Source organism: Homo sapiens, chromosome 1 (genome assembly GCF_000001405.40).
Source record: "Homo sapiens chromosome 1, GRCh38.p14 Primary Assembly".
Taxonomy (NCBI): domain Eukaryota; kingdom Metazoa; phylum Chordata; class Mammalia; order Primates; family Hominidae; genus Homo; species Homo sapiens.
This window is the reverse complement of record NC_000001.11, coordinates 104,999,523-105,025,102: the sequence shown is the minus strand read 5'-3', so window position 1 is coordinate 105,025,102 and position 25,580 is coordinate 104,999,523. Positions and strand designations below refer to the sequence as shown.

General features: G+C 34.0%; 1 long non-coding RNA gene across 1 annotated transcript; it reads left to right on the top strand.

Moving 5' to 3' along the window:
- Positions 1-24,077, top strand: LOC105378880 (uncharacterized). The gene is made up of 3 exons (XR_947657.1): positions 1-49; positions 1,953-1,995; positions 24,008-24,077. It is a non-coding gene; the product is annotated as an uncharacterized LOC105378880 (long non-coding RNA).
- Positions 24,078-25,580: the final 1,503 nt, after the last annotated feature.

Sequence of the window (25,580 nt, the reverse complement as noted above, 5' to 3'; positions counted from 1 at the left end):
TATGGACTTATCTGTACTCAGCCAACTGTAGAAGAACAACCCTTCAGAGGTATCGAGAATTTTTTCCCTTTGTAGAATTTTTTTCCTTAGCATTCTGTTCTGAACTCTCTTGATGTTTAATCTCCCTGGACTCTCGGCTTCATCTCCTAACTGCAAGTTTTATTAGGACATTCCTGAATTTCTCCCTCCAATGTCCTGCTGCCAGGAAACTCATACAAGGAAGTGAATTAAAACAAACCCAGCGCTCACTTTATTTGTTCCCAGAATCTCAGGGACCATGGTCTTCATTGTCTGATGTCCATCGCCTTTAAACTGTTTCATATATTTTATTCATTATTTTTTTTAGAAAGAAGTGTACATCTGATCCCTATTACTAAATGTTGATTAAAAGACCAAGATTTTTTAAATTTATTTTCAATTATTTATTTTTATTATTTTTAAAATTTTATCATTTTTAAAATTTAATATCTTGTTAAAGATATCTTTGTTTACTTAAACTACATTAGAGATACTACTAAAATATTCAAAATATTTTTGAGAGAAATAAGTAATCTAAATAAAAGGAAAGATAATGACAATGGTCATTAACTGGAGGACTCTAGCTAAAAACAAAAATTATAAAACTTTTTGAGGAAAACATATCAACTATCTTTAAGATATTGGTAAAAACATATAGCCTTACCACTGACTTTTCAAATAACTTGTTAATACTCTACTCTTACACATCATGTTGATAGCTTTTTCTCTGCTTTCAGCCAGCAATCCAAACAACTATTTCTTTAAAAGACCTTACCTAAATATGTTAACATACGAATTGTCATTTAAATCTGTTTATTTCTTTAACACTAATTCTACTTGATAATATTATACTTGTTATTTATATGGTTTTCTCTTTTTTACTCACTGACAGGAGGTTCTGTGAAGTCAAGACTAAGGTATATCTTCTTTACCATGGTGTCCCAGGGACCTAAAACAATTCCTGGAATAAAGTACTACTTTTAATTATGAGTCCAATAATTTATTACTCAGCACTGAGCAATACTTTTACATTTTTGATATATCTTGAGCTTTCCTTTGAACTGTTTTCCATTTTCAGCCCATATGTGCCTTCCTACCAGGCACTTTTCTTGCTCTAGCTTGGCTTTATTTGCCAATATATGTTGATGATTTCCAACTTATTACTGCCAACTCATCATTTTTTTAAAGACCATAAAAACATATCTGTTTATTTGAAATTTTAATTTCAAATATTGGTTATTCTACTAAATATTATAATTAAATATGACTAAAATTAATCTAATTATCTTTCATTCCCTTACCATAAACTTTGTTTACATCTTGTAATCTGTTGCTTTCAGTGTATGAAATATATTGCTTCTTAGGTGTCATTCAGAAATCATGTCACTCTGGCCTACCCTTTCTTTGACCACCTCCATACAATCAATCATAGACAATATGATGTTTCTGAGGAACAAATATGATTGGCCACAACTCTTCTCAAAACTTTGCTCATCCTTTTCTATAGCTTAAAGGCCGACTCAATCTGTAGTGTTAGAACTAACAGTCTGCTCCTCATTGTCTATCTGGCTCCTTTTTTTCTGCTGTTCTCCTTTTTTTCTATTCCAGAGACATATAGAATTACTCTCCCAATTACAGAAAAAAATTGATGATGTTTTTTCTCTTAAAATGTTGACCATAATGTTTGTAGTGTCTATGATGCTCAACTTGTACTCCCAATACTACCATTTGTCTTCTCCACTCAGTTCTTTATCTCAGGAGGCTAAGATTGTAGTTTGTACCAATGAGTTCTTTTGCACTTTATCTTGTTGGATTTGGCCAATAGGAGATATTTTCAGGAGAACAGAGAAGTGGAGGAAAGATAATTCAGGATATTGTTTCTCCTGATTATCTTTCTGACAGGTTAACTTCAGTGGTCTGTGTCTTTCCCACAGCTCCTGAGAGTTGGTCGTCTTCATACAGCTACTCTGGATTTAGGTAAGTGGTCCCTCCTCTTGCCCAGAGGTGCCCAATGGTATCTATCATGTAAACTCAGGAGTGCTGTACTCTTCCTATTTTGTTTTCTTTGGTGAATATTTCTTTTATTAAACTTTCTGAGATGTACTCCTTCTAGGATCCTGACTAATCTCAGTACTAACATGCACGTAATTGCCAAATAATTTTAAGTGGAAGCAGCAAGTTTAAAAAGTGGTAAAAGTTATGAATCTAAATAATCCTGAACTTATTGTAGGTCCTGGGAGCCAAGTTTGGTTGTACAAATTCCTAAAATATTTTAGATATATAGAATTCTATGTACTTATGTAAAAATTAACCTACTTTGTTAAAAGTGTAAGTGTGAAGCTCCTTTTCTACTAAGAATAAGGCAAATCTTTCCTTAATTTGGAATTATATAATGTTAATGTCATTTTTTATCTATATCATTAAGCCACAGTGCCCTAATTAAATATACTATTAGATGATTGACAAAATAAATTATTGGATAAAATAGAAACAAAGATATGAGATAGAAACTGTTACTCAACACTATCAAATTTCAAAATATATTACAAAAATTTATGGTTTCATAGATATTATTTAGGAAAAATATAATAAGTATTCTAATAGATTTGTTATATATCAAATGAAATTTTATAGTAAAATGCACTTTGACTAGCCATAAATTGTTTAATTTAATGTAAAATGTGGGAATTAATTTATATCCATTTTAGAAAAGATACCGGCATGATTATTATAGTTCCCATTAAATTCATTACCTGTACATTACAATCCTAAAGATAAATTTAAAATACAATGCATGATTAATATTATTACTACTAATACACTATTAACACATTGCATTTTAAGTTAATCTTTTGATGTAAAAATTAACACAAAGAAATGTTAATAAAAATGGTCACTGTCTCATTAATAATGCATACATTTTACCAAAATAAGATACAGCAAAATGTTATTTATAGAAAACTAAGTATATATTTTTTGTGAAGACTTACATTCATCTGTGTAAAGAGTACTCTGCTTACATAATACTAAGGATTTATTTCTTTATGGTTCATATTTTCAATGGGGTTTAGTCTCTCTTGTATAATTTTATCATAGCTTTTATTCTGTTTTCTCCTTTTGCAGTAACACATAAAATTAGGTCTGTTTCCACAGGGTTGTAAAGATAATTTCAAGTCTTTTCCTTTCAAATTGATTTTTACCTTAGCTGTTTTTCTTGTTTAATAAGGTGATAAAATCATATTAATAATATATTTACCAAACTCAGACCTGCATGTACATATTAATGTTGTTTCTAGCCAAAGTAGAATAAATTTAGGCAATGTAGACTCAAACATAGTTAAGTAATTATTACCATATTGTATTGTGATATTTTTCTTCAGAGGACATTTCTCCCTTTACAAGTTGGTGATAAATGTTTCCCGCCTTTTTTGCTCTCTAGTTTCTTTGCAGTGACTCATTGCTCTTAGAATATTTAGAAAAATTATCTTTCAGTCAAACTATCAAAGACATTACACTACGTCTTGCTGTACCTTACTTTAAGTGGCAATTATGAGACATTATCACACAGCAATATCAAATAACAATTAACATCCTACAGGTTCCTATTATACTTTTAGCATTGTGTCTTGATTTTCATTCTCATTGCATCCTTTGAAAGAAAATAGACGCAACTTTTTTTATTACTTAGAAGTGGTATGAATATACTAAGGTACAAATAAATTTATATACAAAGGAAAAGAGAGTGTGTTTTATAGTTTTGTTATATTTTTAAAAAGTGTTTTCAGGATATCTGAAAATATGCATAAACCTGTAAAATTCAAGCCCAGTATATTCTCTAGTGTAGTCCACTGTACTGTAGAAAATAGCAGCGTCAAAATGCAATAAAAATATTAAATCATATAAAAAGAATTAACCTATAATTAATAAGCTCAGTAATGAAAATCTGGAATGAACATAGAAACAGGTTGTAACTCCCTATCCCCCAAGATGCAAAATTAAGTTGAAAGATAATATCATTTTCTTTGACCCAAATATATTCTTCGTTACTCTTATCTAAATTCTCTTCATTATAATTTTATGGGTAAAATACTTTATGGCAGAGAATAGATATTCTTTGGTACTTTGTTTTGTTCACGTTTTTCTTTATGTAAATAATATTTTTGTAATCATGACGGTAAGATATAGGGGCATCATTTTAATTAATTTTTTCTTTTTGTTAGATATTTTTATTCAATTCTGCAAAACTGAGAGGAGAGAATGTATCATTAAACCCAGTTGGATGAGCATATTTTTTGACATTACGGCACTAAAAAGCAAACAAATACCACGAAACAGAGACAAGCAAGCAAACCCAGTATAATAGAAATAAAAGCATACTGAAAAGTCAATAAAACCTTAGAAAATATAAAGAAGATAGACAAAATAGCTTAACGTATCAATTTAAAATGTGTTTAAACATGAAAATTAACTGTTCTCACATTCTAAATAAAAAGCAATGCCCTGTTGAGATTCCTGACAGATAATTAAAGTTTTGGGTAATTTTAAATAATAATCTGAAAAAGAAGTAACTGGTTAAGTAGAAGGTTAATCCCCAGATTCATTTTCCAAGCCTATTATCAAGTGACTGGGCCTCACAAATGTAATGTTTACTTCCTGATACTAAAAGAGACAAGTGCTAGAACATAAATACCAGACACAACTGAGAATGAAAGTGAGGTGCCACACTGAAAACAGGTAGATTATATGAAAATTGGCAGGATGAATTTGAACAACCTCAGTTTGTTTTTTTTGTTTCTATTAGATTACTATCAGAATACTAGAATCTAAATTTACAGTCCCCCAGAAAGGATACTGAAAATTGCCTTCTTGAGAAACTAATTTGACCAGGAGAAAAAAAAATGTATATATATATATATATATATCTGTGTGTGTGTATATATAATATGTGTATATATATATATATATATATATCTGTGTGTGTGTATATATAATATGTGTATATATACACATATGTATACACATACATATGTGTATATACATTTTCATATATCACATGTCTTACATGCATTTTCATGTATCATATTTTCATATATCACATGTATGTGTATATATATATGTGTATATATATATGAATTTTAGTAAATTCTCCAAAAAAAGACCCAGTTTTCTGACTTATCAGTCCCTATGGTAAGAATGACCAATGCTCAGAGAGCTTCCAAACAACTTATTAGTACTTCATTCATAAACATTCACAATTACCACAAAAAAGAATAAAATTCCTAGAAATACAGCTAACAAGGAAAGTGAGGGACCTCTACAAGAGAAACTACAAACCACTGCTCAAAGAAATTAGAGACGACACAAACAAATGGAAAAATATTCCATGCTCATGGATAGGAAGAATCAATATCGTGAAAATGCCCATACTACCCAAAGGAATTTATAGATACAATTCTATTCCCATTAAACTACCATTGACAGTCTTTGCAGAACTAGAAAAAAAAAACTATTTTAAAATTCGTATGGAACCAAAAAAGAGGCTCAATAACCAAGGAAATCCTAACAAAAAGAACAAAGCTAGAAGCATCATGCTACCCAACTTCAAACTCTACTGTAAGGCTATAGTAACCAAAACACCTTGATACTGGTACAAGAACAGACACATAGGCCAATGGAACCGAATAGAAAACCCAGGAATAAGACCGCACACCTGCAATCATCTTATCTTTGACAAACCTGACAAAAACAAGCAATAGGGAAAGAACTCCCTATATAATAAATGGTTCTGGAAAAATTGGCTAGCCATATGCAGAAAAGTGAAACTGGGCCCCTTCCTTACGTCATACACAAAAATCAACTCAACATGGGTTAAAGACTGAAATGTAAAACCTAAAACTATAAAAACCCTGGAAAAAATCCTAGGCAATACCATTCAGTACATAGGCATGGGCAAATATTTTATGATGAAGATGCCAAAAGCAATTGCAACAAAAGCAAAATTTGACAAATGGGATCTAATTAAGAGCTTCTGCATAGAAAAATAAGCTATCAACAGAGTAAACAGACAACCTGCACAATGGGGGGAAATTTTTGCAAACTATGCATTTGACATATCCAGGATCTATAAGCAACTAAAACAAATTTACAAGAACAAAACAAACAACCCTAGTAAAAAGTGCAATAAGGACATGAACAGGCACTTCTCAAAAAAAAGACATATGCAAATATCAACATCACTGATCATTAGTAACATGCAAATCAAAACCACAATGAGATACCATCTCACACCAGTCAGAATGGCTATTATTAAAAAGTCAAAAGACGCTTTTCATTCATGCTCTGTAAGCCAGCTAGAAGCCGATGGTCAGTACTCGTTTATCAGGAAGGAATGCTCTGTAAGCTCGCCAGCTGTCATGTGGAAATCCGGAAAATGGAGGGGAGCCTGGTAGTGGTGTCATGAGGTTGGTGAAGTTGAAGTCGCTGTAGGAGTCTTACATTCTTTGTTTTCCAGGGCTGGATTCTGTTTAACTATTAGGAAAAATATTCTGTTAATGGTTAGTGAGGAAGAGGGTATCGTGAGGTGCAACTGACCTCTTGTCTTGTCATGGATGGGGAAACTTTTGAAAGTTATTCTGTGGTCTCCTTGGCCAAGAGGGGTCTGTTCAGTCAGTCAGAGGGATAAGAATTTTACTTTTATGTTATAAATCTAGGATATTTTCAGAGTCAGCCTATACCACACATGTGATATATGAAAATGCATGTAAGACTATGCATCAGACTAATTCCTGAGATTCAGCAAAGGATAACTTTCATTGATGCAATGAAGGCATTCCAGATAATGGGGGTAATAACATTTCTGAGGGAGCTGAGTGAATTGCAGGTGACATTTAATTACATGCATTGTGTGAATTGTGTGGCTAACTAGGTATCAATGCTTAAATAGCCCTGAAACCACCATTGCAAAATTGTAATTGGGACAGTGAAAGAGATATTACCTAACCAACTCTGTCTTGCTTCTAAACTCCAAGCTGTCCTTTTTTATTCCTGGGCGTAGGACAAACTAACTTTGGGAGGAACTAAGTTTACAGTGTAAAACAAAGATGATAACAGCTTTTTCCCAAGACAAACCTCCTTCTTGCCTGGGGACTAGACTGCCTTTGTAGGACTAACAAATTAGCCACAAGATTAGAAATTATGTTTTAGGAATCACGCAGCTACCAAGGGAGGCTGTAAACTGGCTCATCTGATCTTGTGTGCCTCCCAACCGCCCCCTGGCCCCCGCCCCAGGAACTGACTCAGCACAGGAGGACAGGTTCATCTCCCCGTGATTTCATCTCTGACCGGACCAATCTGCACTCCTGGCTCACTGGCTTCTCTCCACCCACCAAGTTGTCCTTAAAAACTCTAACTCCCAAATGCTCAGGGAGACTGATTTGAGTAAAAATGAAACTCCGGTCTCCCTCACAGCCAGCTCTGCACGAATTATTCTTTCTGTATTGCAGCTCCCCTGTCTTGATAAATCAGCTCTGTCTAGGCAGCAGGCAAGGTGAACCCATTGGACAGTTACAGCCCCAGAGCTAATTATTTCCCTGAATGGAAGTACCTATATGATGTGATTTGAATATTTGTCTCCTCCAAATCTCATTTTGAAATATAATCCCCATTGTTGGAGGTGGGGTCTGGTGGGAGGTGTTTGGATCATGAGATGGATACCTCATAAATGGCTTAGCACCATTTCCTTGGTGATAAGTCAGTTCACGCGAGATATGGTTGTTTAAAGTGTGTGGCACCCCTTCCCTCTCTTTCTTGCTCACACTCTCATCATGTGAGACAACTGCTTCCCTTTAACGTTCCACCATGACTGTAAGCTATCTGAGACCCTCACCAGAAACAAATGCCAGCCAGCACAGTGTTTCTTCTACCGTCTGCAGAAATCTGAGCCAATTAAACCTCTTTTCTTTATAAATTACCCAGTCCCAGGTATTTCTTTATAGCAACACAAGAATGGCCTAATACACCACGCACATTTACATCGTTTTATGATCAAGGAAAGTTGTACCTTAAAGACATGACATATGAATTATACCATGAATGCTATGTTATTTCTTAACCTGCATGCTTTTTAATTTATTTATTTATATTTATATTTTTACTTTATAAAAGTTAGGATCTTGCTATGTTGCTCAGGTTGGTCTCGAACTCTTGTGCTCAAATGAATCACCTGCCTTAGCCTCCTAAAGTGTTGAAATTACAGTCATGAGCCACCATGCCTTGTCCCTGCACAGTTTTTTAAACCTAAATAAAATTGTGCTGGGTGAAGCTCATGAATTTGAATTTTACTCAGTCCCCAGGAACTCTACTAGTAGAGTGAACACTTTAGAATAGAACATTAATCTCAATAAATAAGTAGCAGCCCTGACACATTTGGAAGTTGTCATCCTATCCTTACAAAAAAGACCAAGCTGAACAAACCAAAGTAAATGACTTCTTGGACTCATCAGAGATGGGAGCTTGCAAAGCAAACCACCACACCCAAACTTGGAGAGATTGCCAAAGGAAAAAAGTAAAAACACAGCCAACATCTGCTTACCTGAAGTAGATCTGCTCCAGCAGCTTCTGAGTTTTTGGGCTGCTGGAACAATAAACTGGTAACACTTTAATAGTGATTTCGATGAATTGCTGGAGGCTGAGTATAAAATAGCTTCAGGGTGGGAGCCTTATTTATTTTCCCCACACCAAAATTAATACAGTGAATGAATGATACCTCCAGGAATATTACCAGATTCTCATCATAAAAAGCCAAGAAAGAGTCCCTGTTACCTCTGGCATAGGAAAGAAGAAAATGACCATGATGAAATGCATCCAGAGAGTTAGCCATAAGAAAACAGGGGGAAAGACTTTATCGGGAGAAGAAATATTACCAAAACCCAGATCTTCTTGCTCTCCTGTCTAACCTAAGGAGAGAAATTGGAGATAAGAAATGCTTGAGAATATCACAGCCTAGGGACACTTACCCACTAAAACATTGAGATAAACACATATAATTATCTTATAAAATCATGGAATATTTCCCCTTCCCCACACTTTACCACCATATAAACAGGGCTCCACTATAGTGGATTATAGTTTTAAAAGATGCAAAATAGCAAGAACAATACTTGATAGAAGTTCTTAGGAAAACCCATACACAAGGGAGACAAAAATACTAGACATTAGAATAATTTTAAGCACCTACAGCTACAGAAAATATGAAATAGAACACAACTTCTAGCCATATTAGCATAAAATCACAGTAAAGATCTATTTTTCTCAGTTCCTATTACTCAATACATCATGCTTATCTTTAAACAAAAAATGCTAAAGGCAAGACAAAAATACTGTCTGAATAGACAAAGCAAGAATCCCAACCAAACTCAAACATGAAACAGATTATAGAATTATCTCACAGTAATATAAAATACCTATGGTTAACCTGTTGAAGGCTTTAATGGAGAAAGTAGACAGCATGCAAGAATAGATAGACAAGTAAGCAAAGGGATGGAAATGATAAGACAGAATCAAAAGGAAATGCTAGAAATCAAAAACTCTGAAATGGAAACAAATTATGCTTTTGATGGGCTCATCAGTAAACTGGCAGACCAAAGAAAAATATTAGCAAGAATCAAAGAAATCTCCCAACCTGAACTGCACAGAGAAAAAGGAATGAAGAAAAGCTGAATGTGAGACAATTTCAAAGGGCATAACTTATGCAAAAATAGAAAACCAGAAGAGAGAAAAGAGCAGAAGAATAGCTTTAGATAATAGTGGTCAAAAAATTGAAAAAATCAATTACACTAAAAAAAGTCAATTACAGACAAAAAAAAAACAAAAACAAAAACAAACAAAAAAACCCACCAGATCCAGAAATCTCAGAGAACACAACGCAGGATAAGTCCTCAAGCATCTATACCTAGGTATAGCATATAAAAAGTGTAGAAAATCAAAGACAAGGAGGAAAATCTCAAAAAAAAAAAAAAAAACCTAGATGGAGCAGGGGCAGAGGACACATCTTACATGTAAAGAAACAAGGATAAGAATTACATTGTACTTTTTCTTAGAACCGTGCACACAAGGAGAGAATATAGTAAAATATTTATGTGGAAAGAAAAAAAAAACTCTATGAGCCTAGAATTCTATATCAGGCAAAATTATCCTGTAAATGTGAATGGAAAAGCCTTTCTTAAACAAACAAAAATCAGGAAAATCTATTGCCAGCAGGCATGCCCAGAAAGAAATGTTAAAGAAGTTCTTCAGGCAAATCAAAGTCAGAAACTCAGATTGACATAAAGAAAGAGTGTTGAGAAGGGATAAATAAAGGCTGAATAAAATAATTTACTTATTCTGTTTTTAATTGATCTACATGATAAGTTTTTTAAAGTAATACTAAAACAGTTATTCACACAGCTTTGTGTGACTATAACATAAGAATAAATGAATGACAACAGTGTTGTAATGTATGGGAGGGAAGTATTGAGAATGATCTGCGTTAAGACAACTGCAGTATATGTGAAGTGGAATAGTGTTATTTTAAGAGAGGTTTAGATTAGTTTAAGATGCTTTTGAAAACTCTAGAACAAAACTAAAAATATTACAAAGTAATTTATATTATTGATATAACTGAATAGGGGTTAAAATGAAACTATATAATACACCCAATTAAAACCAGAGAAGGTAGAAAAAGAAGGGGAAAAAAACAAAGAATAAGTGAAATGAATGGAAAACAGTTATAAATGTGATCGATATTAATCAAATGTATCAATGCTCACTTCAATAGTAATATGACTTAACTGCTGAAAAATAAAATAAAATAAATTGATTGATAGTATTGGCATTTATCCATATGTAAGGCAATAAATGTAGCTCTATAGCTCATACAATAAAATACAAATATCTGTATGTGATATAAATTTAAAAACCAAAGCAGGACAGGCACGGTGACTCATGCCTATAATCCCAGCACTTTGGGATGCTGAGGCAGGTGGATCAACTGAGGTCGGGAGTTCAAGAGGAGCCTGACCAACATGGAGAAACCCCGACTCTACTAAGTAAATTACAAAATTAGCCGGGTACGGTGGGGCATGCCTGTAATCCCAGGTACTCGGAAGGCTGAGGCAAGAGAATTGCTTGAACCCAGGAGGTGGAGGCTGCAGTGCCTCCCGCCATTGCACTCCAGCCTGGGCGACAGAGTGAGACTCCATCTCCAAAAAAAAAAAAAAAAAAAAAAAAAAAAAAAAAAAAAAGTAAACAAGAACAAGAAAGACTAAAGACATTGTTTTTAGAAAAAGTACAATAAGTACAATCTAGGGATCACGGAGCACAACCTTACCAGGATCAGTGGCTATCTCATTCATCACCAATAGAGATGTAAAATAATGCAGACATTCTAGAAAATAATTTGACCGTTTCCTTTTGTTTTGCTCCATTTGTTCCAGCCTTGGCCACTTGGAGCTCTTTCAGTAGGCACATGTATTTGCTTGACATATCGTTTTCTTTTCTTTTTTTTTTTTTTTTTTTTTTTTTTTTTGACAGAGCCTCACTCTTTTTGCCCAGGCAGAAGTGCAGTGGCTCAATCTCAGCTCACTGCAACCTCCACCTCCCGGGTTCAAGCAATTCTCCTGCCTCAGCTGCCCAAGTAGCTGGCATTACAGGCACACACTACCACACCTGGCTAATTTTTGTATTTTTAGACAAGGTTTCGCCATGTTGACCAGGGTGGTCCCAAGCTCCTGACCTCAAGTGATCCACACACTTCAGCCTCCCAAAGGGGTGGTATTACATGAGTAAGCCACCACAGCTGGCTGACATACCATTTTCATTACATTTTGCTCATATGTATTGCATGAGAAAATTTATAAGACAGTGGTTTCTTAATAGGCCCTAAAGGGCAAATTACTTAAAGAATTTTCACTTCAAAATAATTTAATCTAAGTTTAAAGAATTACTATATATATACTTATAGTAAATGTAAGACATACAGATGAAGACACAGATGGGCATGTAGATATAGATAGATGATAGATAGATAGATAGATAGATATTGATCTAGATATATAAAATATATAATATACATATGTATGTGTGTGTGTGTGTATAAAGGATGCTTTTCCAATGTTAAATGATAGACATATCATATCAGTTAGCACTTGAAGAAGTACTCAAGGATGGTGTGGTAGCCAAGATAGGAAAATGCTTGGTCGAAACAGGAGAATGCTTGATGTGTGTTCAGAATAGTGAAAAACTGAAGTTTCTGGATAAGAGGTAGAGCAATAGGTGACAAGGTCACAAAGATAATGACAGAATAGATGTCTTGCAGGAACTTTTGCTTTTATTTTAAGTGTGAAGCCTTTAAGGAGGTTGGAACAATGGTATGACATTATAAGACCTACCTTTCTAAAAGATCACTTTGTCTGCCTTTGGATAGGAGAAAGTAATATGACAAGGTCAAAAGGTGACCAGTTAGGCTATTGTAAAAATTTTGAGAAATTATGGTGCTTGAGCAAAAGTAATGGAGACTGTGAGAAGTGATCAAATTCTACAAACATATTTCAAGTAGAGTCCACAGAATATATGGAGAGATTGAACATATTCAATTAGAGTCCACAGAATATATTGAGAAATTGTATGAAGTGGAAAGAATGGGTCAACTATAGCATTTGGGTTCCATTTGTGCAACCAAAATAATTAAATAACCATAACTATTTAGTAAAAATGAGGAAATCTATGACAGGTTTTGGGGGAATGTGCAGAGAGCATCTAAGTGGAGATCTATATCAAATCATTAGGTTTACCTGTACGGAGTTTAGGAGAGGAAACTTGGCTAAGGATGTACATCTAGGAATTTTCATTGTGTAGATGGCATTGAATCTGATGAGACCACCAATCAGGGAGAGAGAGAGAGAGACCTATTTAGAGTTCAGAGTTAGAATCATTCGTAGGCACTATAAAAATAATAACAATGAGGGTTCATACTATCGTATCGATAATCTTCTTTTCCTACTTTTTACAACTATTAAATGACTCTGGTTGACAGGTTGTTGTATACAGATTTAGAGTTGTTAGAAAATAAAAGTGTGGAGAAGTGCAAGCTTAAAAAATACAAATATAACACAGCCTTTGGGTATCTCAAAACATTATGGAACAATTCTTGTCAAATATTATATTGCTTTTCAAAGGCTCTTTTTTATACTTGAGAGTGCTGAAAATTAGTCTTTGTGCTATTATGTACACACCTGTTTAAAATAGCAAAACTTTCAGGTTTTCTATCAGAATCAAGTGTTTAAATCAACACTTTATAGGGAAAGTGCTGGTAGGGCAGGGGGAGAAAAATTAACATTGCGTGTGGAATAATGTATTGGTAAAAGTAACTAATGTTTGTTATGTCTGTAATTATGCGTAGTTTTTTTTTCAATTTTCTTTGGATACCCTTTGGCCTTTATAGGAAAGTTTGTTGTTACTTTTCTGATGGAATTTTTTTCAATATTAGATCAGATGTTTAAAGAGATTTAGATTTGAGGAAATGGCCTTTTCTGTATGCCACATCTAGTTTGCATTTATATGAGGAGATCTGCAACTTTCAATCTTGTTAAACACAAAGTTCCTCTTGGAAAGAGCAAGATATTAGAACTTTAAAAATTATTTTTAGCCTATTCAAATTTTCTTATAAAATTATCAGTTTTATAAGTGAATTACATTTATAACCCCGAACTTTTTGTCATTATACAACTCAATGATTAAGAAAGTTTGAAGAATTTCTTAAAAGAAAGAAATGTGGTTAAAAATATATATTTGTATCATCAAGCATGAAAAAAAATTCTGTGGAAAACACGGATTTGGTATGATGTGAATTAAATATCTACATAACATATGTATTTATTTAATTGGTTAATTATTTATGATCTCAGGTATAAAGTTGAATTATGCATAGTTTTTGTTTTATGAGAACAATTCCAATATTTTTAATGCCTGGACATTTACTCATGCAGATATGTAAAAACACTGTCGAACAAAAGTAGAATATATCCAAAAATGTATTACATAGGTAATAACATCTTATTTATTTATTTGCTTGTTCTCTTTCCTTCCATCAATTTTTTATTTTGTTTTTATTTTTGAGTTTTAATATTCTCATTCTTTAAAAATATTTATCATACACTCACATACATTTATAAAGTTTTATCATATCTTTTTTTTTCCCCCTTAGTGACTGAGTTTTACTCTGTTGCCAAGGTTGGTGTATAGTGGCACAATCATAGCTCACTGTAACCAAAACTTCCTGGGCTCAAGCAATCATCCTGCCCCAGCCTCCCAAGTACCTAGGACTACAGGTACACGCCACCACATTCGGCTAATTTTTAAATTTTTATAGAGAAGGGAATCTTACTTGCTCTGGCTGATATCAAACTCCTGGCCTCAAGTGATTCTCCTGCCTAGGCCTCGTGTAGGCCACCATAACCCCCAACCCTATTATCTATTTCTGTCTATATACTTATCAATTTGTATTACTTGCTGAATTTTATGAAACACTCTCATATTATATTTTCATTTCTGGGGCTTGCTTTTTTGACTTCATGATATGATATTAAAATTTTATTCTTGTCATAGCTTATAGTTGAGATTCATTCCTTATCATGACATAGTATTTCATTTTGTGACTATTACAAAATTTATTGATCCATTCTTAAATCTATGATTACTTTCATTGCTTTTCTTTTTCTTTTCTTTCTGCTAAATGTTTCTGTAGACATTTTACTATGGTTATCCTAGTAACTGTGTTCTGAAATTCATGTTGAATTTGTTATAGCTAGTAGATTGCAGGCTTATTAAGTGTGTGATATTCAAATTTAAACACTAATGTCAAAGGCCAGAAATAGCAAAAGGAGACTAAAATTCATTATGAAGCCTTAATAATTTAGATAGTATGATATTGGTATAAAAATAGATAAATAAAACAACAGAACTGAATAGATAACCTAAAGGGGTACATGAATATATGTTTATCTGAATTATGAAAAACAAAGTTGCAGTGGCAATGGAATCATCTTTTCATTAAATTGTGCTGGATCACTGGTTACCTACTGGAAAAAATTACTTAGAAATTTACCTCATAGCACACTAAGTCTACATAAATTTTAAATCTAAATGTGAAAGCCAAATGATAAAGTGCTTTGAAAAAAAAAACAGACGATACTATTTTCATGACCATGGAAGTTAGGCAAAGGTTTCTTAACCAAGGTGTGAAGGATAAAAGTGATAAAACTAAGAACCTCTATTTATCAGTAAGCACCTTTAATGGATTGAAAAGCAAGCCAAAATGAGAAAAGTTGTAAAAGAAATTTTATATCCGTATCACACAAATCAATTATAAAAATTAACACCCAACTAAATAGATACTTTATAAATACATAAAAGACCCATTCAGATATTTTAAACAATGTTTTAAAAACCAGTGATATTATGAGAACATGTTCAGATTCATTAGTTATTGAAAAACTGCCAACTAAACCACAATAACTTATTCCTACATATTAATCAGAACGTCAATTCGTGTATCTCTGTGTATCTCTGCAGGGATGGGCTGCTTCTTTTGTCATTCTCTAGTACCTTACCTTCTTTCTATAATCCATGATTAACAGCAGAGTTAAGTCATATAACAGCTTTCTAACCAAAAATACATTTTAAACTTCTACATAGCACCAAGCTGAGCGTATATCAAACGTTTTCTGATGTATTGCTATGGAAATTTCCATGATTATGAAATAGGTTTGAATTTGTCTCCTAAAACTAAGAGCTCATGCCTGGGTTGTCAGAAGACAAAGTCTTCTTATTTCCGGTTAATTTTATATATATATATATATATATATATATATATAATAACATCATGCCCCACATTCTTAAGTAAAAATGTGTAGGCCCCATGTTGTTTTTTAGAGACTTGCCAACTCCTATACTGTATTATCATAGTCATGGGGATTTTTGTTGTTATTTGTTCCATAACTGTTTTCTCAAACTATTTCCAAATGATTTTACTGGAAACGTTTTTTTAAAACTGGCAATAAATTTTGGCATAAAAATTTTAATCTTTTCTGACACTCTTTCTATTCTTCATTTAAATCAGAAATCTAAAATTATGCTCTGACAAAGTACATGTAAAATGAATATTCTAGTGTATTAATACTATTTTATAAATAAAGTAGGATCAACGGTATATTGATATGAATGATTATTGACGTGTTTGCAATAGTTCTTGGATTTCATCTGAGAAACTACTCCCTTCAGTAGGTGATATAAATAATAATGTATATTAAATATAGGAGCAAGGATATTAATCAACAAGTCAAAGTCCTGGTAATTAATTAGTTATAAACTAATTAGTTTAGAAATTATAGATAAATATTTTCTTTGGGGGAGGCAAGCCAAACACATTCTCTATTATTAGACAAAATTTTTCTTAAAAAATGAGAGAATGTTTATGATAATGCTTTAATATTGTATAATCAAAACACATAGTTAATAATCATGAGATTCTGTGCTTATTTACGGTAAATTCACTCTGCTCTACACAAGCACATGATATTTTCCTATATCTATGGCCAACCTTATGTCTTAGTATTCCATATTACTTTGTCTTATTGTTTTCTTTTAAAATGTGTTAGAAATATCATATATGACAGTATCTTTTCTTACATTTTATATTATGGTATAATGCATTTTTAAAGCTTATTTATAGACTTTCTTCTTTGTTTCCATATGTCAATGGGGGAAAATTTCCTTGCTAAAAAAATACTCTGGCACTTGCTAAAACAGTAGGGAAAACTTTAGTCAAGACTATTGCAATAGGGATATTGCAATAGGAAATAAAGGTGAGGCTTAGCTATGAATATGGCAAAAAAAGAAAAAAAAAGAAATCAATGTAACTGACAAGCAGGATGAGGGAATCAATGGATGGAAATTACTGAAAGGAGACATCAAGGAGAGAGGATTTTTGATAAACCCACTTAGAATCTTTGCTTAAAGCAGGCCAGGATGATCAGATATCAACAGTGATGATTTCTTGTTAAACTGGCTTAGGATTCTTGCTATCAATGAATTTGACAAAGATGAAGACAGAAGCCCAAGGTTGAGACCTAGTGGAGCAGAGGGCTCACAGTTACCTGACTAAATTTTGGTCAAAGAGGAAGTCTTTGTCACAGTGAAGGCAGAGTTCTTTCAACCACACTAATATACTTTTAACAACGAGGCCTAGAGTTTTACTCTTCAGCACCAGGCCTGGAGGTATTCCGTCAGAAATAGCATGATGCTGTTGAATACAAGAAACTATAGTAAGGTTAAGATCTTCTGATCCAATATTTGCCTTTTCTGACTGCATGTGTGAGACATACTGTTTATAAAAAATACGCAGAATAAAATCTTATGTTAGATCTCCCTGGTTTAAAAATCTTTGTTATTCATTTAGTAAACAAATGCAATGTTTTCCTATGCATGGATTAAAATGATCACCTTGGTGTACTTTCCAAGTATCCATGTAGAATAGTTTACACATTTCAGAAGATACTCTACTAAGCAGATGACAGAATAATAAGTAGTCTTTTTTCTCTCTCAAATTTCTGTAGTGTTTTAACTTAATGGGTTGTGTCTTTCAAGATAATTTTCCCTCGCTGAAGTCAGTGATTATTTGGTTATGTATTTTAAGAGTGAAAAGATGTATCTCAAAACATAAAGCTACAACTAGATCTGTAATTTTCTAGTGGAAATATAGGCTTCACATCCTTTTTGTAACCAAGAATTTTGTACAAAGTTGTTAATATCTGCTGCTTGATTTCATTAAAACTTAACTTGATCAATTGCTTTCTTAGCCTGGGAAAAAATTATATCCACTCTCTAGAATATATAACTCTTAAATTGGTATTTTATCAAGTAGATATAAAAAAGAAAAAGACAAAAATGGTTATTTTTAAAAATAAATAATCTGTTTTGATACATTAATTGAAGTACAACATTTCTGTGTAAGAAGCATGAAAAAGGATGACAATAAAATACATTATCCTTGGCTTAATATGATAATAACCTACAAAGCACAGAAAGCAAACATGTTAATATGATCAAGGTGATCATATAGTGTAATATTTTCTTTATTAGTGCATATTATTTAAATAATCAAAGGAAATATTTTATCTTAAAGACAGCATTTTAAGTTTACCTGTTTATCTCATTTTGCATTATGAAGCACTTTAGAATTTAAATTTGTATTTATGTTGTAATTTAATCAATTTGCCAACAGTTAAATGGAGATGTTTTGCAAATGACCTTGTCAAAATATTCAACTATATCTAATTACGGACTAACTGTATGAAACAGAGATTAGCAACCTTACCCAAATAATTATTTTTATTTAATTATAAGAGAATAATGTTTCTTAAAAAGGCAGTATTGAAGAATACCTTGAATATAAATTACATAATATACTAATACTTTGCCTTTATCCTTGATTATAAGTCTCTCTGAACTTTTTACACCCATTATTTTAAGAACTAATTAACATTAATTGATATATTAATTTATTAAGCATTTATTTATTCAGCATTTATCATGTACAAAGCTCCTAATCTTGGGACATTCACATAAATGTTAAAATGTTTAGTGGGTCTGTATTTCACAACTGTATGAAAAATAATGTATCATTTAAAGTCTCTCCAAAACATATTCCCTTTTCCAGCTATGCCTCAGGATGTCTGGTGATACTTTATAACTTTTATAAATTGCTATAGGGGGCCTTGGTATTATCCAAAATTGGCATTCTCTCAATAAACTACTAATTGCAAGAGTGGCCCGTCTGGTGCAGCCACTGTGAAAATGCTGGCTGCAGCGGGGCTTAGGTCTACTCAGAGCCAGCGGGAACTGAGAAAAGTCAGGAGCCCTGCCCTATACTGACTTGGTGGAGCAGAAGCCCTGCACTCCTGGGTGTAGCTGCAGCTGCCCAGCGGTGGCTCTGGACCAGGGCATAACTGCCCTCTTAGAGACCCTGGAAGCCCCCAGCTCTGGTGCACTCGGAAGTACCTGCTACTGCTCACTGGCCTCTCCCCACTCTCAGTGCTTGCTCTGGGGGCACAGTGAAGTTGTGGCTCAGCCTGAGTGCTGTTGCAACCTGGCAGGGTGTGTGCATGCTCAGGCTGGTGCTGACATGCCAGCCCCCTGCCTTATTGGCCCTCTCTGGACTTGGGCATTGACAAGCATGGGAGGGAGCCTCAGGTGGGGCTGAGAGTGGTTTGGCATGGGCCTTCAGGCGCTTCTTGACACAAAGCATGGGCACCGTGGATGGCATGTTTATGGTGGCAGGAGGCAGACAGGGTTCTGGGTCGAAAGGGGTGGGTTCCTGGTAAAACTGCACCTTCAAACCAGGGACAGCCTGAAGCCTTGGGTCCAAGCTGCCAGTTCCAGGTGGAGTCCATGGCCCAGAGTGAGAACTTATGGTGCTTTTTCCAGGCCCACCCATGATCACCCATGTATCAATCCACATGCACTTCCTCCCTTCTGAGCCCATAAAAACCCCAGACTCAGCCAGACTAGGACAGACATTGGGATACCCTGCTTGCAGAAAGGAGCTACCCACTGAGGGTCTCCTCTCTGCTGAGAACTGGACACTCACTGGGATGACCTGCCTGTGGAAAGAAGCTACCCACTATGGGTATGCTCTCCACCGAAAGCTGGACACTCATCAGAACAACCTGCCTGTGGAAAAGAGCTACCCACTGTGAGTTTCCTCTCTGCTGAGAGCTGGACACTTACTGGCATGACCTGCCTGCGGAAAGGAGCTACCCACTACAGGTCTCCTGACAGCTGTTTCATCACTCAATGATGTTCCTCTCTACCTTGTTCACCCTCCAGTTGTTTGCATACCTCAATCTTCCTGGATGCAGGGTAAGAATTTGGGTTCCACTGAATGGCAGGACTGAAAGAGCTGTAACACAAACAGGGATGAAACACACCCTCTCACCCACAACTGCTCTCCATCTTGCAGGCGATAAGAAGGAGAGAAGACCTTTTGGAGAGCCCAGACCTAGAGGATCCTAGAGCCAAGGTTGTGATGCCCTCTTCAGGGCTCTGTGGTTCCTGGTGTTTCCAAGCTTTTAGGAACCATCACATTCCCCTTGTCCAGATGCAGATGCAGATGCCTGCAGCAGATGCCTCATGCAGTACATCTTGTCTAGCCACAACCTTCAGAAGCCTCATGCAGTACATCTTGTCCAGCCACAACCTTGCATAGAGCCCACACCTGTGCTGGCACCTGGAGCTGGCCTGCCCTGCTGCAGCAGTGACATGCCTGGCTGTATGCAGTGGCCAGACCCTGTACTTGCTTGGCCACACACCTCTTGCCACACTGTGCCTAGCTCCACCTTGGCAGGTATGGAATCTGGGTCAGTAGTTCAAGCTGAGCGCAGCCTGCTTGGCTGTGTGGGAGGAACAAGCCCAGCAGGTGTGAGCAACACTCAGGCAGAAGGTGCCACCAGCCACAAAAGTTCCCAATTGGTGAAGCTACACTCCAAGGATCCTGTGACACTAATATATGTCCATATCAGCAGTAGAGGTGCTACTTTTCAATATCATGAGTATTTCCTTCTGATGGATTACATCTCCAAATTTTTTAGGTATTACTTTTTATGCAGAATACCTGCTGCATAACCTGCTCCCCCTTGAACCAACTTCATAATTTTCTGGCTTAGTCATAAACCCTAATAAATAGCAAAAGATAGATGTAATTTGCTTGTTTTTAGATTATGTGAAGTTGCAAGACTTTATTTATTTTCAAAATGTTGACACTATTAAATTATACTAGCTACTAAATATTTTACGAAATTACTTCTGAAGAGCTGCAAAATTTTAATATGTAAAGTTGTTAATGGAAGTAATATTGTTTTTCATAAATTAATAATTTTAAAAATATTATTTTGAGCTCAGGATGAATGTTTGCTTCTTCATTTAACAATTACAGTGTGCCTTTCTGTGCTTCTCTCTTCTTTTCTCAAGACTGTTTAGAACATATAAAACTCTTGCAGAAAAATACTTATTAATCTCAAGGTGCATTATTACTTATCTATTGGATAAAGCACAAACTTGAGAATATTGTTTATGCCTCTGCAAGTTTCGTTTTGTGTGTGACCTTTGTTACAACTCATTCTTGGAGGCTGCTTGGATAAATTACAGAGAAATTACTAAATTTTCAATTTGATTTTTTACATATGCAGAATTGCATATATACATTCGATGCAATACATAGAATTGCAGAATTATGTCATACCAATGATTGTCTTTCTCATAATTTTTCAGATATATTTCCTTAAAGAGAAAATTAAAATATGAAATTTAGACTTATAAGATGGTTTAATTTGTAGAAATATTAAATTGGGGAGATATTTAAAATATGAATATTGCTGCTATTTTCTAGAATCACATTGCACCAGTTAATTTGATAACCAAGGTGTTGAAGATACATTAAGAATTGAAATATAACCCCCAAAATACAACCTCCAAAAACATAAATATAAATACCTGATACTTGGAAGCACTGAATAAACTAGAGTTCGCTTGCAGCCAAACTTGGGCACATTTATGCCTATCTCCAAAGATGTCTAGAAGTCTTGTATTGGCTCTTGGTCAACGTAAGGATGAAACAGGATAATTTCATAGTCTTAGTCTTGACCTAGCACAGAGTTTAGAGGAAAGGTAGTTTTTTAGGTTTAAAAAAGGTACAGTACAGGAACAGCATGCCAGAGGTCTCACAATTCCCAGGCAAAGCTACCAATACTTCTAGACACACACACACACACACACACACACACACACACACACGCACACCAGAACCACAAGAAATAAGCTTAAATGGGTGCAGTCCACATTAGCACAGTGAAACTATCAGCTCTGGGTCTCTCCAGCCTTTATAACTTGCTAGTCAAATAACCCCCTCAGAGATATATGACTAGCTTGTACTTGTTGATTCAGCTATAGGTCATCAATTATAAATTAGTACACTGAACAATGTTGACAAAAAGTAAAGTATTATATACAACGTAAATTCCTGACAGTCCCATATTGATCCATATTTTCATTCCTGTAAATGAATTCAGTACAGCTAATTAAGACTCTTTCATTTTCCTTAAATTAAATAGAAAGCAGTTCAAACAAGGGTCAAATCCTAAAGATCTCTGTAGCTGAAAAAATATTATACTTCATTATGTAACCATTTTCTTACAATAAGAAAAAAATAGCAACATAACTTCAAAGAGAAAAGTAGGAGAATATATCACCCTTTGTAGATAAAGATTTCTTAAACTGAACATAAGAGCACCATTGTAAAGAAAGTTTCAATTTAAGTTATATTAAAATTGTAAACTTCTAATTATCAAAATATTCTATTAAGCATTTGATAAGATTTCTACACATTGTGTGCCTGTATCAAACTATCTCATGTTCCCCATACACACCTACTATGTATCCACAAATTTTTTAAATCAATTTTAACCTCCCACAAAAATACATTGATAAGGAAAGACATAATGTAAAAATGTACGATACATATGTACAATAAATAAATACTAATAGAAACTGTGAAAAAGACAGAAAACATAAATATGGAAGAGTCTTAAACATATTTCCTGTAAACGATATCCAAATAGTCACTAAACCTATGCAAAAATGTTCAAAATATGCTTAAAATTTGGTAATTAAGCTAATATATGCTATTTTAATTATATACTATACCCTACCTTCAATAGTTGGAAAATATTATGAGAAAAACAATACCAAGTGTTGTCAATAGTGTTCACTAACTAAACCTTTCATACACTGCAGATGGAAGTAGAAATTGACAAAAATATTTTGAAAATTGATTAGCAGTATCACTAAAGTTGAATGTGGACATAGTTTATGACATAGGGGTTCTATTTATAGGTCTATACCCCAGGGAAATGTACACATAAGTACACCAAATTATCTTTACAGTTGGCAGCATTACTCAAAATATTCCAAACCTAGAAACAGTCCATATATCCATAAACACTGTAATAGATACTTAAAACTACACTATATTCTGACAAAGAGAGTATTACACAGTAATGGAATAAACAAGCTAGTAAGTACAACATCAAAAGAGATCCTAGAGACAAAATGTTAACCAAAAGAATAAAAAAAAAACCTTAGGCCTTTGACGATAATAATTTTTCTAGAACAATATTAATAGTTTATGGAAATGAAAAATAATTTTATCAGTCAATAGAAAAAAAATTGCCATTGTGTCTCCATAGTCATATGTTTAATTTAATGCTATTAATTAAATTAATAACCCATCTTCATTATTAGATTTTATTCTTAATGGGTACTGACAGTTTCTAATATATAAAATATACCTTAGAAAAATTATTATAATTTGACATGCTAATAAATATTCTTTTATCTCTGAAAGCAATTCTAATGGAAAAATTTCCAAAATATTTCAGGAAATATTATCATCAAAGGACTAAAGTATTATTCTCATCTAGACATATATTTTGGGATATTTGTTAAAGTAAAAAGAGAGGGGAGGAGTGCAATTCTTTCTCACCAGAAAGCATGCATCAATTTTGTAGCAACTGTCCCACATAAGAAGAAAACATTTTATCAATAAAAATATTTCTGTATACCACAATTTTATTTCATGAAATTGATTTTATCAAATTTGCATAAATACCCTGTTTTTATTGCTTTGAAAAAATACATTTAGTCTGATTTTATTTTGATGGTTATGAATAACTTTATGAGTAAAACATTCTTCCAATTGAAAGCAAATTTCAAAAGGAATAGAAATTGTAAAGAAAATTCTGTTGTGTCATTATTAGTAGAATTGTGCTGTGGAAAGGATTAACTGAATGAGTGCATTTTGTCAAGAACTATGGATAATTAGAGATTTTATCAAACTTTCTAGCTAATAACTTGGCCTGCCACAGTCTCATGGATCTGGCAGAAGACATGAAACTCCTGGGTCAGAAGAAAAGGATTTTATGACTCGCAGTACAACAGGCAGCTCTTACTTCGTCTTCACATCAGTTACCTTTCTCATCTAAGTCCCGCAAGGGTGATGCTGAGGTCATCCCAGATGGATGCTAAACACAAAACATGTGAGTGTCATAGCTGAGGAACCCTAAGCTTAAGAAAACCCTAATTTGATAACAATGCTACTAGCATACCTGCTAGACTCTTGCCCTGAAAACACATTTTTTTTTTTTTTTTTTTTACTATGTCTATCAGGAAACAAAGCTACCCTCTGCCCTGGTAGTGTTTTCTTATAGGAAAACACTATTGCTATCTTTCAGGATTGCTTGCTACACAAATGTTCTTTGAAAGATAGCCCTGGAACAAACACAGAAACAAAACTTGCAGAAATGACACGATGAAGTGTTTCCCAGCGTATGTTTGTACAGTGTTCTTCCTGCTGAGATGTGACCCTAAGTTTTAGGAATATTCTCTCCTTCTTCCACTGTCCCAGGTACAATGACTGCAGCTAAGTTCATAAACATTACCTCGTATATCATCCAAATTGAGCTAATAATGGCCCTCTGCCCAAATTTGCTCTATGCTTTGGCAAACAGGGAGAACTGTACACCACAAAAACTAATATGCAACTGTACACCACAAAAACTAGTATGTATATTAGGAAGTTGCAAGTACCATTTTTAAGTCAAATATCAAAGGTTAACATACAGGCATAAGAATGAAAGAGATAGGCAGGGTAGAGAATAAATAAGAGATAAAAACAGGAAACTAGGACTTGAGCCTTGAGCAGTGGCCCCAAATAGGTTCTGAGTCCCAATTGCTTGCTTGACTTTGAGTATAACTTCCCCATGAGGTTCTCCTTTTTGCCTAAATTAACTCGAATACATTATTTTTATTTACATATGCATATGAAAAAAGAGATAACTAAGACAAACATAGTATCACTTATCCTTGGAACATTTTTGAGCTCCTTATCTGTGCTAGACAAGAGAATAGGTGCTGAGATGGGAAGACTATTCCCTCTTTCAAGTGCCTCAAAGTCTAGATGTTACTTGCAGGACAATGTGGCCAGTTCTGTGAGAGAGATGTAGTCAGATTGTATTTGGAACAAAGAACAAGGATAATTAACACAAACTGGAATTGGATATTGAATTATTTCAACTCTCAGGTTTAATATGTGAATTGAGAATTTGTGGGTTGAACCATTTCACTAGGCATGCTTGGCCTTTGGAATAGTTTATAATTAATTATTTTATTATAATACTAGCTTAGTGTCAGAAGAATTATATATAATTCAACACCCTTTATAGAAAGTAAAATTAATCTGAGATTACAGAAAAGTTTAAATACTAAACTAAGAGTACATTATTCATCCTAATATAAGAAACTGTGTTTTATCATTTTACTAATTCAGTTTACACTCCCAAATGTGTTCAGTCTTTATACCCATTTACAGGTGTGTGTATTGAGGTTTTTTTTTACAATTTTACATGTCAAGAGTTTTT